The sequence below is a fragment of the Homo sapiens genome, chromosome X (genome assembly GCF_000001405.40).
Source record: "Homo sapiens chromosome X, GRCh38.p14 Primary Assembly".
Taxonomy (NCBI): domain Eukaryota; kingdom Metazoa; phylum Chordata; class Mammalia; order Primates; family Hominidae; genus Homo; species Homo sapiens.
This window is the reverse complement of record NC_000023.11, coordinates 48,695,419-48,709,544: the sequence shown is the minus strand read 5'-3', so window position 1 is coordinate 48,709,544 and position 14,126 is coordinate 48,695,419. Positions and strand designations below refer to the sequence as shown.

The window sequence follows — 14,126 nt, the reverse complement described above, 5'->3', positions numbered from 1 at the left end:
CAGTCAATTTAATTGCATTGTTTTGAGACAGGGTTTGGCTCTTTTCTGGAGACAGACAGGCTGGAGTGCAGTGGTGAGATCTCAGCTCACTGCAACCTCCACCTCCCAGGCTCAAGCAATCTTCCCACCTCAGGCTCCTGAGTAGCTGGGACTACAGGTACAGGCACATGCCCCCACACCTGGCCAATTTTTGTATTTTTAGCAGAGACGTGGTTTCACCATGTTGCCCATGCTGGTCTCGAATTCCTGAGCTCAAGCGATCTGCCTGCCTCGGCCTCCCAAAGTGCTGGGATTAAAGATGTGAGCCACCACACCCAGCCTTAAGTGCATTTTAAAGTTTAAGTATAAAACAAACTTATTTTAGGTCAAGATGTTATATAGATGATGGTGTAAGTGATATGCTGTGGGGGCTGAAATTGTGAGGATTAGAGTCAAATGGCTGAGGTTTGAGGAACATGTTCCTGGGCAAACCCAGCTCCCAGCCTCTATCCCCTCAACCCCCACCCACACAAGCACCTCACATCTTGGTTTGTTCAGTCGACAGTTCATTTTATTGATGCCCACTCCAGGCTGCATAGGGTTGAGGGGTGTACAAGAGGAGAACCAGATTCAGTCCATGCCTGGAGGTTAGTCTGGGGGGCCGGCGGGATGGACACACAGACAGACACATAGATCTGGCATCTGATAGCAGGGCATACAGTCTCATGTAGGGGCACTCTGGGCACAGGTAGTCAGGAAGGACTTCCTAGAGAAGTCCTCACAGGGGGTGGGGGAGCAAGGAGCAAGGCAGCCATCAGAACCTTCGCCTTTTGTACATTTGTAGGCAGGTGACTTTTGAGACCAGTGGAACCAGGGTGAGCACAAAGGGCTGGGGTCTGGGAATGGCAGGCAGCAAGGGCTTCCCTCTCGCCTCGTCATCCCATAGTGGGGAAGCCATCTCCCCCACCCCCAATTCTTGGCCTGTACTTTGCCTTCTGCCACATGGGCCCTTTCCTGGCATCCACCTCCGTGGTTTTCAAGGCTTCCCTGAGACAATCCACGTGGACCAGGTGCTCTACCCAGTGCCTGGCACCTCATCACCACCCCATCAATGCACATTCTTGTCCTAAGTGCTATCTACGGACTATCTAGATCTTGGTTCCAGCTCTGAGTGGTGTCAGCGGTCATGACACCCCAGGTCAGGGCCCCTAGCAACCGCAGAGCTCCCAAGAGCCCTAGGTACCTTCACTGCACTGTGAAGGCAGAGCTTGGTCCCAGCCTACCTCCAGGGCTGGCCAGCTCTGCACTGCCTTCCTCTCACTGCTCAGTGGCCCATGGACACCCACTTCCCTTCCAGTGGCATGTGGGCATCCACTTCTCAGATATGCAGCCCTGAAGAAGAGACCCTACAGCTCTTAGGGCCAACACTACCCAGCACTGTAAGCACGAGCAGAAACCAGCCTCAGCCCGTAGCCCAGGGACCCCCTTTCTTTCACTAGTACAAAGTTTCTGTGGTTGGGGAACCAGCTTCATGTCGGGCTAGGCACTCTGGCCTCTGATGTCTGCCTGCTCTGGGGTTGCTTCCCCATACCTTTGGGGCAGCAGGGAGGAGGCCTGCAGCAGACCCCTCAATCTCCAGGCAGAAGCAGGTGCAAAAACAAATATATTCTGGGGCTGGGTTGGGACTCACCCCTTGGACCTCCTTAATAGGCCATGAATCCCAACGACAGAGAGTCTTGATGTTGAAAAACTATTTCTGAAGGTGGGTGGGGGTTTGTAAGTGCAACCCACAGATGGGGCTGGGACAGGGAAAGGGGACTCCTGGAGTCGGTCCTCACCACGGCCACAGCCCTGAACGTAGAGCAGGTAGGAGCAGGTGGGGGCAGGTGGAGGCAGGCGAGGCCCTGGCAGTCATTCTCGACAGGAGGGCAGCAGTGGGGGAGGTGCATGTAGCTTCAGGCCCCCTCAGTCAGTCTGGCCTCAGACTTCTAAGGGCTAGAAGAGGTATTTGCGGCAGGACTCAGTCCCACACTTGCATTCAATACGGACCCGCTTCTTAGGGGAGCCAGGGAGCCCAGCCAGGCCAAAGTTGGAGTCCATGCGGGTGCTCTCCATGTCCACGGGGTCCACTGTGGAGTCACAGCCAGGGAGGAGAGGAGGGAAGGAGGCAGGGAGGGAGGGGGAGAAGGAGGGAGGGAGGAAGGTAGGGAAGGAGGCAGGGGACTTGTTAGAAGGCCTGGATGAAGGGTCCCACTACCCTTTATACCATGAGACCAAGGATCTTTGGGGCTGGGAGCAACTCTGGGATTTGAGTTGGGAGATCTTAGGGTTGGTGGTTTGGGGCTAGGGCCAGGGCTCAGCACTGGAGGTTGTTCAGGCCAGGGGTTGAAGAATGCTGGGGGAGGCAGGGAGCCGTCAAGGAACCAGGAGGGTCGTTTTAGGTGTGTGGGGGGGGGCAGGGGCAGGAATAGAGGGCCACCTGGGCATCCAGAGGTACATCTGAACTCTCCTGCCAAAGACCTGCCCTTGAGGGTCTCAGAGGTGGCTAGCTTATCAAGGAGGGGACTGGCTGGAGGCCACAAGGGTGTCCAGAGGCTTGGGATGAAGAAGGCCAAAGGGAGCTAGGAGTGGGGAGGGGCTGGGGGATGAGGGAAACTCAGTCAAGACTGGAGTCAGGAGTTTCTTAACTCTCCAGGAATCTTGGGAGAAGTTGGTATGAATGCCTCAGGGTTAGGGTTCAGGGGCTGGGAATGAGGGGACTCGAGGGGTAGGCAGGGGTCTAGTAGTCCGAATGGGGGACTGGGAGTCAGGAAGAGCATCTTAAAGCTCCCGCTAAAGAATTTTCCTTGGTTCTCTGAGTGACTGGTGTGCCTTTGGGAGGGGTCCTTGTGTCCCAAGTCACAGTGCGCCCCTGCCCCCAGTCCCTTGCCACCCCCACCTTGCATGTTGTAATCAAAGGTGAGCTCCTCGCCTGCCCGGATGGTTCTTGTGGCAAAGAAAGCGATGCGGGGCAGCCGCTCGTCAAGGTTGTCTATGAAGACGTTGTACACCTGCAGGTTGGGGTCACACTGGGCGAGAAAGAACAGTTGGGAGAGTGAGGAGGGGCTCCAGCCTGCCCCTCTCGACCCCTTGCCCGCCTGCCGGGGGTACCCACACTGTGGTTGACAAAGTGGGAGATGTTGCCATAGTAGGCGGCATCCACGGTGTACACGTCCTCCACGTAGTCCAGGTCAAAGAGGTAGGTGGCGCCCTGACGGTCGTAGATCTGGCCCCGCCGCTCTGCCTCCTCTGAGGTAATGATCTAGGGAAAGGGCCATGGGTAAGGGGAGATTGGCCGCGAAGTCTCAGGAAAGCCGGCACTGCTCCTGACTTCTGAAGGACAGGGAGCAGGAGGCACCCCTGCCCGTGGACACACATGGGCAGTGACGCAGAGAGTCTGTCGGCCCTTCCTGAGGAGCTGGGCCTCAGCTGGCAACTGCCTGGCCCGCCTCAGGCCTCTGGCTAGCAGGAGGAGTCCCTGGCGGTGAGTGCAGGCTGGCCTGGCTGCAGGGCCCAACTGGGGCCACGCGAGCACCTCCTGCCGCCACCCAGCAAGAGCTGCCCAAGAACCCCTGGAGCCTCCAGTGCCTTGGGACGGAGCAGGAAGGTGATCAGGAGAGACCAAAGCAAGGGCAAGAAAGAAAGTGACCCAGGGTGCCACAGGGAGAGATACTTACTGATCCAGGCAAGGGAGCCTGAGCCCATGCAGGACCCAGCAGGGAGGGCGTGGAGAGAGGGGAAGAAGAGACCCAGGCCATGGGGAAAGGGGGCAAGGGCCTCAAGACAAGAGAGGTGGAGGCAGAGGCAGAGGGAGGCCCAGGTTCAGAGAGCCAGAAAGAGGCTGAGGCCACACACTTCAGAGACAGCAGCAGAGGAGGAGGAAAGATGAAGGGAGAGCACAGTGAGAGAAGCTCTCCCTCGGCCCAGGGCTGCGCAGTGCCAACTGGTGCTTCAGACGGCAGTGGGTGCCTCCTCCCCAGCTGGTTCCCTACCTGTCCTAGGAAATGGGAAGCTTTGCTGCCATCCTAGCCCCAGCCTGTCCTTGCCTCCCAATCCACGCCAACAAATCTCCGGCCCCATGGCCCCTCTTCCCTGAGGCCAGCAACGGCAGCCTCCTGCCAATCCCCAAGCGTAGCTGACCAGGCCCTTCCCTGGGTAGGGGTCCCACTGTACCTCAGCCAAGAACAGTGCACAGCACACAGGAGACACATGGGGACTGCTGTTTACTTTGATTCTGCTTCCTGGCTTAGCAGCCTGTCCTCTGTCCAAGTGGCGGCCCTCCAGGTAGCTCCAGTACTCCCCCGCCACACTTCTTCCTTCCCCTCCCTTCTCCAGAGACCCCTCTCGGGCTTCCTTCCTTGCTCACCCTCATGTGGGCCGGTGACCATGCCCTTCTGACTTGGGAATCCATCTCCTTAGCTAGGATGGCCACACTGGTGTTCTCCCTGGCTGTCCCCTCAAGGCTGTGTTCCATGCCAAAGGCTGACTAACAATGCCTTGAGGAAACCAAGATTTACCCTGCCTCGGGCCACACTACCCACTGCCCCGTGCTCCAGTTCTGTTCCTTGAGGAACCTGGCTCCCTTGCCAGGGTTTTTATTGAGGCCTTCCTTGTGCCCAGTCCCAGCATGCAGGGCTCACGGTCTGATCAGGGAGACACAGGGACCAGGCCCGGTCCACTCTCAGGGGTCACAGGTGGGTAGGGGATACACAGGAACCAGGATTGGTCCCTGCCCTCAAGGGGTCAAAGTCTGGTCACAGAGAGACAGATTCACACACCCACAGTGTAAGACTGTGATCAGGAAACAGTGCTTAGGGCTTGAGGGGGAATGGAGAAGAGACGGATTCTCTAAAACGAGTTGCAGATCATAAAAGGGCTTTACCACCTGGTGGAAGAGTGGGGACTCTCTCCTAAGGGCCACAACATGAGGGTGGAATATGTCAAGATCAGTCTCCCTTCACCTCCTGGAGAACAGTCTTCCTTGTGGCATCAGCTCAAACAGATGGGACCTCTCTAGGCAGCCTTCCAAGCTTCCCGTTCCTCCCCTACCTCAGAAGCTGGCCACTTGTCTGATCAAGTCCTGGGATCAAAGGGCAGCCTCTCCCAGGCTCACAGGCCTAGTGGGTGGGGTATGAGCCATCTTTTTCACCGTAGGCCCTCCTTGAGCCAGGAGGAGTGCCCACATCCTTCCTAGTCTCCATCTTCATGCCTATTCTGCCACTACCTGCTCTCCCAGTCTCACCAGGAGTGAGTCATACTGCAGGCCCTCCAGGGCACAAACACTTCTTGGTTCCTTCTCATCTTCTTTTCAGTCCCATTCTCTAATGATTGGTCAACCCTGAAAGCTTGGGAACAGATGGGCCTGTCTCTGCTCCCTAACAGCTCTCCAGAATGAATGGAAAAGACAGGCTGTAAGCTGGCAGTTCCGAGAGGGTGCTGACGTGAATGGGAACTAGAAGACTTGGAGTCAGCTGCTGCTCTGCCCCCTCCTGGATATGGGATCCTGAATGTTCTCTCTGTGCCTGTTTCCTCAGCTAAAAAAAAAAAAAAAAAGCTACAGCCTGGCAGGGTACCAGTTTTAGATATTATTTGGGCCTTTATTTTTTTATCCATTGTACTACTTTTGTGATTTTAATCAAGTTATTCTACCTCTCTGGGCCTCAGTTTTCTCATCTGCAGAATGGGAATGACAGTGACAAAATCCCAACCTGACAGGGGCTGTTGTAAAGATCCATACAAGATCATGGACGTGAAAGGTGTTCCTGTTTCTGATAGGAGAGTGAGCAATGTTAGGAGTGGTTATGAGGACCAGTTATAAATGTAAGGCACACCCTTAATTTTATGTGCCCTTTACCAAGAAAGGAAAAACTGCTGTTAATTATAAATGATACACCATGATTTAATTAAGACATCTTCATTTCCGAGATGTTAAAATAGGAAGAAAATGCATGTTTTAGAATGGATAAAATAGGCTGGCATTGTCTCTTGGGTGAGGATGGGAATGTTCTGCAGGAACGTGAAAGTTCTGACCCAATGTGGGAGGCTGCAAAGGAGGGAAGGGCAGCTCCCGTGGAGGGAGCTCTTGGTACAGACTGTCAGTACATGTCCCAGCTGAAGAAGGACAGTAGATAGCATGGTGTGCAGATAGGCCCTTGATTCCGTAACACCCTGGCAGCATCTGGGACGGCACTACAGAATCAAGTAAATTAGAACTGCTGCAACGAAATGTATGACTATTACCCCAAGTAGGATAAATAAAAACTACAAATAGGACCCTATCCGGTCAGGCTGGGTCCTGTAGCCAGATGGGTTACAAAAAAACTTGGTCTTCCAGACATTTTGGATTTGCTGAAGTTTGAACTATGCTGATAACATTTGTATCAAACTTACTGTGTACTGAACACTGTTCAAGTGCTTTTTCCAAGTGCTTGATACATAGTAACTCATTTAATTTTTGTAACAAGCCTGTGAGGTGAGTGCTATTATTGTTCCCATTTTACATAGTAAATGCAGGCACAGAGGTTAGTGATTGCTGATGAGTAGTGGAGCTGGGATTCAGCCTCGGGCAGTCAGGATCCAGAGTCCACCCTCCTAACCATTTGCTATACTGTCTCTTCAGAGGGGAATGCGGGAAGATGAGTTTGGCTCTTTCCGGAGGCCTGTGGCACCATCAGGAGGACCCATGGGTCTGAGGGTGCTGGAGGGCGGTCAGGAAATAGTGCAGCAAGAATGTGTGGAGAGCAGGAAGGGTGAGGACAGGGCTGAGAGGATCCCTGGGAGGATTAAAGACACTGACACTAAGGAAGAGCAGCCAGAAAAGTCTCAGGCCCAGGAGGGTCTGAGGCTGCCCTTGGGGTGTAGTCTTCCTCCTCGACTGTCAGGACCCTGTGTGGTAGACAGTGTTTCCTCCAGATGCCAGTACAGTGAGGCTGAGATACTTCCTGCTCTGTGCAGCCCCTAGGACGGTGGACTGTCTGGGTCCTATGGGGTCTGGACATCTCCTCCAGAGAGTTTGGGTTCCTTCAACCTCTGGACACTTCCTCCAGAGCGTCAGGACATTGAGGGCATGGACACTTCCCCCGATACTGTCAGGGTGCCCTTGGGTGTAGACTAGATCTCCAGGCTGTCCGGATCCCTCTGGGGTGAGGACACTTCTTTTTCCTGTCATGACAACATGGGTGTGAACACTTCCTAAGTCAGACCACCAGGTCCTCTAGAGTGTGGAGAGCACAAGCTCTTCCTCCAGGTCACTGGGGTCACTGTGGGACATGGACTTCCTGCAGATTATCAGGACTCCTTCCCCCGCCCACTGTCAGGAGCCCTCAGGGTGTGGACACCTCCCCACCTCCTCCTTCCAGATGGCCAGGTCCTGTGGCATGTAGACATCTCCTCCAGCAGGCCAGCAGGGTTATCTGGACAGGGTGTGGCTGTCTCCTTGCCCAGACTGTCAGGGTCCTCTGTGGTGTAGATTGTTCTACCCAAGATTGTCTCTGTCCCTGTCAGATGTGACCCTCTGTACAGTTTCTCAGAGTAGGAGCCTCTCCTTGTCATCAGTATCAGTGCTACAGTGTGGACACCCTCATGTGAGTGTTCCTCAGGCCAGTTTCTGTCACTTTCCAACTATATCACACCCCTAAGGGACCTATGGCTATATATAGAGGTATCTGGGGTTGTCACTATGACAGGGCACACTCATGGATTTAAATGGTCAAGGTCCAGGGATGCTAAATGTCCCCCAATGCATGAGACAGTTCTACATAACGAAAAATCATCTCATCCCAAATGCTAACTGCATCCCATCTTAGAATGCGACATTTTTCTGTTGTAGATACTTGCTAGTTATCTAGTTGCTAGTTATGGCTGTGCTTTAGCCTTGTGCAGCTGGGCACATGGCTAAAGCACATCCTGTTGCCTCTCTTGCATGGAGGTAAGGCCAGTGACTCAGTTCCAGCCAGTGGAGCATGGGCAGAAGTGATGGGTGCTGCATCTAGGCCTGGCCCACTAGGATGGGCCCCTTCTATCCCCCACTTGGCCCGCCTGCCAGGCAATGCTGAGGATCTGGTAGTGACTCCAAGGCTTCAAGGCACAGCAAAGGCACAGGAGGGAAAGAGCCTAGGTGTCCCAGTTGCTGTGTGAAAGGATACCCACTCAAACCCCCACAATGGACTGTTCCATGAGCAAGCAAACTTGTAATGTGCAAAGTCACTAAGATGAGGGGGTTGTTTTTACAATGGCTGGCTTGCCTAATACACTCGGCCTTCCCCAGTGTCCTGAAAGTCTAAAGGAGTTAGCCAACCTTTGTCCAAGGCATGTCTCATCCTACTCCAGACTGCGTTCCTTCTGTGCAGACTGGTAAAACAATGCTCCTCAGGCAGATACTGCTTGGTGATAAGATGGGCCCTTGTGAAATGAGAAGAGGAAGTGCCTTTCCAGCTGATGCAGCCCTATGCCAGACCACATGGCCTGTTACAAGGAATGCTAAGGCTGCCTGGATCTCAGCTCCCACTTTTCTTCTTTGCTAAGTACCCTGATAAAGTCAACCCAGTGCAGAAGTATTTTGGTGTTCCTGTAACCACCAGCATGGCCATGCTGGTGTGTACCAGCTTGGAATACTAGCCCCTGCCCAATGTCCCTGTGACACTCAGATCAGTCTCCCAGGCCTTTCCCATAGGGAAAGCAGGGAGTTTCAGACACACAGTGAGGAGAGCCGGGTGCACACTGTGAACACAGGGTGGGAAGAGCTGCACACACACACCGGGTCCCATCTCCCTACCTCTCCCACGTACTCCATGACGAAGCTGTTCTTGCGAATCTTCTCCAGGGTGCGGACGCCCCAGCCACGCCCATCATCCGTGCGGAAGATGCAGAGGTCATATCGGATACCCTTCTGTACCACACGATTTGGGCAGTCATAGCCGCAGCGGCAGCGGGAGTTGCACTCGTAGATGGGCAGCCCGGCTCGAAGCCGCACCTGGCCCTGGTCATTGTAGGCAAACTTGTGCAGTGACGCCCCCGGGCAGCAGCCTCCAGTGGGTGCCCACAGACAGTCCTGGCACTCGCAGCCCACAGCCACCTGGTTGAGGGTGATGCCCTCACCAACACGGTACTCATTGATGTACACGAAGGCCCGCGGAGGGCCGTCCAGGTCCACCTCATTCTCTACAGTGATGCGTCCCAGATGGCTGCGCTTGGCATTGAGCTCCTGCTCCCAGCGACGGAGCGCCCGCCTCTGCTTGGCCTTCTGCACCAGGTAGTTGGCCAAGCTTGGGTCCAGGTGCCGGGGGGTCTTTGACCGGTGGTGCCGCCGGAGCAGCTCCCTTTCTAAGTCCTTGTGGAACTGCTTGAGGATACGCACACACTTGAGATTCTGCCGTGGCTCCCAGGTGCTCTCTGAGTCTGGATATCCACGCCATTTCACCAGGTAATATTCCTGTTCCTGTTGGGGGTGGGTAGGGGGACGGGGGTACCGTAAGTAGTGAGATCTTTGGGCCAGCCTTCATGGGGCTTCCATCCCAAAGCTGATGGATAACACCTACCCCACCCCACCCCTTTTCTGGAATGACTTCATGCGGTGATTAAAAAGCATGGGCTCTAGAGTGAGGATTACTAGGTTCAAATCCTCCTCTCCCCCTTACTGTCTGTCCAAACTGTTCCAACTTTTAATTAATCTCCCAAACCCACTCCTCTCCTTGGTCTTCCCCATCATCAGCTCCCTCCCTTCTAGCTGTTCAGACCGGAACTCCTGGAGTCATCCTTGACTTCTCTTTTGTTCACACTTCCGACACCCACCCTCTGCACATCCCGTTGGCCCCACCTTCAAAATACGTCCAGTGACAAACCATCATCACTGCCACCACCCTGGCTCACCTGGACCCTGACAAGTCCTTGCCTGTTCTAGGCAGCTTACATGTATTATTAACTAACTTAATCCTCACAACCCCACATGAGGTAGATGCTCCTAGTTATCCCTCTTTTACGACAAGGAAAATGAAGTACTGAAGGTTTGGGTAGGTAGCCTGGGGTAACACAACCAGGACTGGAACCCAAGCATGCTGACTCCAGTTTGTTCTCCTAACCATCCTGCCACTCCCCCTTCTGGCAATAACTATCCCCATTTCAGTTGTTAGGGGATTAAATGAGTTTCCGAGAGGAAACGCCTGGCACACTGAAAGTGCTCAATAGCCATTAGCTATTGACATTTCCACTCCAGGGTTCAGCATCTCAATCTCTGCAATTACTTTGTATTCCTAGGGAGATGGGAAGAGATTTATTTGGGAATTCATTCCGGCTCCTGCCCAGAAAGCTACTTAGTTTCCCTATCTGTAACATAGGGATAAAAGGGTCTATTCATCCTGTGTTTTCAGGGTCAAAGGAGAAAATTCCCTTTGGAAACAGATGTGGGCAGTTGGGGACAAGAGGGCAGGACACTAACTTCCTTGTGACCTGTCCCCTCCCAGAGCATGGTCACCCCAGACTCACGCGGATCTTCTTGTAATCGCACAGGTACTCGACTTCAAAGTCATAGAGGTTCCTCTTAGAGATACCGAGGGCAGGGCAGGAGAGCTTGGCCAGGCGGCACAGGTCCTGCAGCTGATTCCAAGAAGACTTGCAACACACGCTGCAGCCTGGATCAAGCGGGGCAGAAAGAACTATTACTGGGCAGCCTGACTAGGCCAGGAGTCAAAGGGGACCCCAAATCCTCCCTGGGACATCCCAAAGACTGACTAAGAGTCAGGGAAATTTAATCCACAGGCCTTCCCCAGTGCTGAGACTGTTCTACAACAGAAATGTGCTTTGAACCCCAATACTCACTGCCCAAAGCTGCCCCTGGAGCAGCAGACCTCTAAGCGGGGTTTGCAACATGAATTGTCCTAAAGGAATCTATTTCCAGAGCTTCAAACTCCATGTCATTCCTAAAACTGCCTGCAAACCTGCTTTGGGTTCAGGACCTGATCACCCCTCTCTCCACTTTGCAAAAGAAAGAGAACAACCCCCCATCTCAGTAGGATGCAGTGCCCCGAGGTGGGGCGGATGGGAGGACAAGATTAAAACCTCCAGGGCACCAAACAAAGGCGTAACTGGAAAGACTGGTCTTTAATCCCTTATCTCAAACTCCTGGGCCAGATGTGTTTTGGAATTCAAAATTTTTTGGATTTTACAAGACTAGTTCTAGGATATCCCATACATCACCTAACACCCCCAGCGTGGCCAGGGGACATCAAGCTATAATCAAATGCATTAACCGTCCTGCAGCAAAAGTATGAATTTCCCACATTAAATAGGAGAAATAGAGATATAAAATAGCCTCACAGAAGAGTTCCACTTTATAATCTACTTTTGCCATAAATGGTGCCAAATTTAAGAAAAGGATTTCAGTTTTCAGGGCTTTTTAGATTTCGGAATTATGAGCAAGAGATTGTGGAATGATACTACATTACAGGAAGGCTCCTTAAATGATCAATCTGGGTGCCTTAAATCCACAAGGTATATTTTTTCACACTGCATTTTGACTTTCTGTCTCATCCATCTTTCTGTGAAGAGTAAAGCTCATCCAAAGGGTTATGCTCTGAATTTATACGCAAAGCGGTACAGATTAGTGACACTGATTCTTTTAAATATACCTGGTATATTTCTGGGACTGCCAAAATTTTGTAAGACACACGGATTTTAAAAAACAGATTTCTTTCTGATTCAAGGCACATTCTTAATCAAAGTACTTTAGAAGCCATTTTATCAAATCATGTCTCAAAACATTCCAAGGGCAGTCAGTCCTCATCCTATATCATCTTTTTAAAATGTTTAATATTTTCTGCCTCCCATTGCAAAAATCACACCTAAACTTTAGATGTCAACCTAAAAACGTACAAGAGCTTTTCAAAATTATTTCGTGTGCAAGCCCTACCCCCCCTACTTAGGCAAGACCAAGTGGAGACTGAGCCCGCCTGTGCCCACGCTTTCCTCTCCCTACAGCCTGTCCTCGCAAACCCCTTCCTTCACTTGCATTTGAAACCCCACTTAAGTGGTCCCAATTAACACCCTCCAGCTGCTGGCTCCGGAACTGGCCACAGGTGGACTCTCCTGAACCCCTCAGAGGTCCTCCCACTTGTGGAACCCATCCTCCCTGCGGCTTTCGTCACATAGAGGGGCCCCCCAACATAACTGAGTCACCCCTCTTTCCCTGCACATGGGGGAGTCCAGCTGTCCTATTAGGAAGGCCCCATTTCTCTCTTCTGGGAGATCCTCTATTCCAAACCCTTCCCCCATCACGCCGAGAGGCGATACTTTCCCCCAGAAGAGTTCTCAGTCCCCGCACTCTGAAGGGGGGGTCTGTCCCCCTTATCTTCCCTCCCCTTCCGGCGTCTCGCGTGGACACCGAATGGGTAACGGTCACCAGGGGCCGATTTTCCCGCGCGCGGGCGCGGCCTCCTCGACAAGCCCCCGCGCGTGCGCGCGCCGGTCCGGCCGCGATCTGCAGCGCGCGCCCCCCTCCTGCGTCCCCACTTAGCCCCAGGCCCGCTGCGTTCCGAGGCGCGCGCCCCCTCCCCTGAGCCCCGCCCAGCCCCGCGCACCAGGCCCGCGCTCCCCGAGCCTCATCCTTTCCGCGCCGAGCTTCCGGCTCCCGGCGCCGGGGCCTCGGACGCCGGGGCCCCGAGCCGGCAACGCCACCCCTCCAGCCCACCCGGCCCGGCCAGCGGGCCCGCGCCTCTGCCTCCACTGCTTCACCTTTTAAATTTTCCGCCATCTTTCCCCACGGCTAACGACATTCGGGCCTAGCCGGCCTCGCGAGAAGAGCGCTCGCGCGGGCGTGGCCGGGAACGCGCAGCCTATTGGCCGCGGCTCCCGACTCGCAGCACCCGCGCGGACCAACCGGAGAGCCGTGACCGAACCCCTCCCTGCCGCCCGGCTCGGTCCCGGAGGCGGGTGCTCGCCGCGCTTTCCCAGAGTGCGTCTGGGCGGCGGCGGCAGCGGGAGCGACAGCGGCGGTAGCTAAAGTTGCCAGAGGCCCTGCCCGTGCGCTGGTCTGTCTGTCACACTGCTAGCCAATCACGTTATCAGCCAGTCGCAGTGGTTCCTCAGTCCTGTCATACTCCCTGTTATCACCGTCAGTCAGCCCGTCATCTCATTTTAACCCCAAGCAGGCCGGGGCTCCCAGGTGGACTAGTGCCGTATCCAACTGCTCAGGCGGTCGCCCCAGACAGGTGCCTAGTCAGACTCCCGGCCCCCATCCACACTGCTGGGCAGTCAATACTGGCTTCCATTTGTGCCCTGGCCAGCGGCGACTCCCTGGAGGCAGGCAGACAGCACTGTTAGCCAGCCTGCCTTATCATTCCCTAAGACCATCCTGTCCTCACGTTGTCAGCAGATCAATCAGTCCTCCTCTCCACCCACCATAGCCCTGGGACCAGCTGCGATTCTCCCTGGCTAAATCCTCTCATAGACTGCAGCATCCAGCCATGCCCCCAGGCGGGCTGTGATTAGGTCGGGACAAGCTGTCACTGTCAGCATCTAATACAGCCCTGTCGGGCACTATCAGTTGGTCACTGTCTTTCCCTCAGATTACTTCTCATTCACACCACGATCAGTCACAACATCCAGCTAGGCCCTCAAAGCAAATAGTCACAGCAACTAGAGGTAGGATTAAGCCTCCACACCACCTGTCAGTGGGTCAGCCAGTCTGTCATTTCTCAGGCGACTCATCCCCACCATTGGTCAAGTCAGTCTCCTCTGATGCGTTGAAGCTGAGATTCTATCAGGGCAGACAGTCCGTAACCACGTACAGCCATCGAGTCAGACAGCTATGCCGATTTTGCTCCTGGCCAGCTGGCCTGTGACTCGTTCAATCCGCCCCTCATCACATCGTCAGTCATTCTCAGCATCCGACTGACCGCACCGTCTGTCAGGTGATCAGTCAGTCAGAGCACCCAGCCAGGCCCTCCAGCATGCTGTGATTCGAGCAGCGTGGATAGTTGATCACCAGATACAGCTGCCTAGCAAGCAGCCACGGGTCTGTTGATCAGTTAGCCTGAAGTTTCCCCAGGTGGCCCTCCTTTACACGGTGCCAGACAGTATAACATCTAGACATTCCCCCGCCAGCTGTGATTCCTGAC

The 14,126-nt window shown here is 54.1% G+C and overlaps 1 protein-coding gene across 2 annotated transcripts, besides 4 other annotated features; it reads right to left on the bottom strand.

Moving 5' to 3' along the window:
- SUV39H1 (SUV39H1 histone lysine methyltransferase) lies at positions 529-13,991 on the bottom strand. Of its 2 annotated transcripts, none has more exons than NM_001282166.2 (6): positions 13,674-13,991; positions 10,498-10,643; positions 8,792-9,454; positions 3,134-3,280; positions 2,918-3,047; positions 529-2,108 (listed from the first exon to the last, which is right to left on the bottom strand). In NM_001282166.2, exons 1-6 carry the CDS (start codon positions 13,723-13,725, stop codon positions 1,975-1,977), a joined length of 1,272 nt encoding a protein of 423 aa, NP_001269095.1. In that variant the 5' UTR covers positions 13,726-13,991; the 3' UTR covers positions 529-1,974. The 2 variants fall into 2 exon arrangements, with proteins under 2 accessions (NP_001269095.1, NP_003164.1); NM_003173.4 differs by lacking the exon at positions 13,674-13,991 and adding an exon at positions 12,742-12,811.
- Positions 11,978-12,257: an enhancer, noted in NCBI's record as "active region_29608". NCBI's record gives its function as "activates an Ori minimal core promoter by ATAC-STARR-seq in GM12878 lymphoblastoid cells {active_cell/tissue: GM12878}" and the evidence as "EXISTENCE:reporter gene assay evidence [ECO:0000049][PMID:35858748]".
- Positions 12,398-12,497: a silencer, noted in NCBI's record as "silent region_20822". NCBI's record gives its function as "represses an Ori minimal core promoter by ATAC-STARR-seq in GM12878 lymphoblastoid cells {active_cell/tissue: GM12878}" and the evidence as "EXISTENCE:reporter gene assay evidence [ECO:0000049][PMID:35858748]".
- Positions 12,788-13,087: a silencer, noted in NCBI's record as "silent region_20821". NCBI's record gives its function as "represses an Ori minimal core promoter by ATAC-STARR-seq in GM12878 lymphoblastoid cells {active_cell/tissue: GM12878}" and the evidence as "EXISTENCE:reporter gene assay evidence [ECO:0000049][PMID:35858748]".
- Positions 13,118-13,197: a silencer, noted in NCBI's record as "silent region_20820". NCBI's record gives its function as "represses an Ori minimal core promoter by ATAC-STARR-seq in GM12878 lymphoblastoid cells {active_cell/tissue: GM12878}" and the evidence as "EXISTENCE:reporter gene assay evidence [ECO:0000049][PMID:35858748]".

Coding starts and splice junctions, on each gene's coding strand:
- SUV39H1 (NM_001282166.2), bottom strand. CDS start 13,725: ATGGTGGGGATGAGTCGCCTGAGAAATGACAGACTGGCTGACCCACTG. Junction 3,281..8,791: donor TCATGGAGTACGTGGGAGAG/GTAGGGAGATGG, acceptor CCCTTTCCCTAG/ATCATTACCTCAGAGGAGGC. Junction 3,048..3,133: donor CCCACTTTGTCAACCACAGT/GTGGGTACCCCC, acceptor TTTCTCGCCCAG/TGTGACCCCAACCTGCAGGT.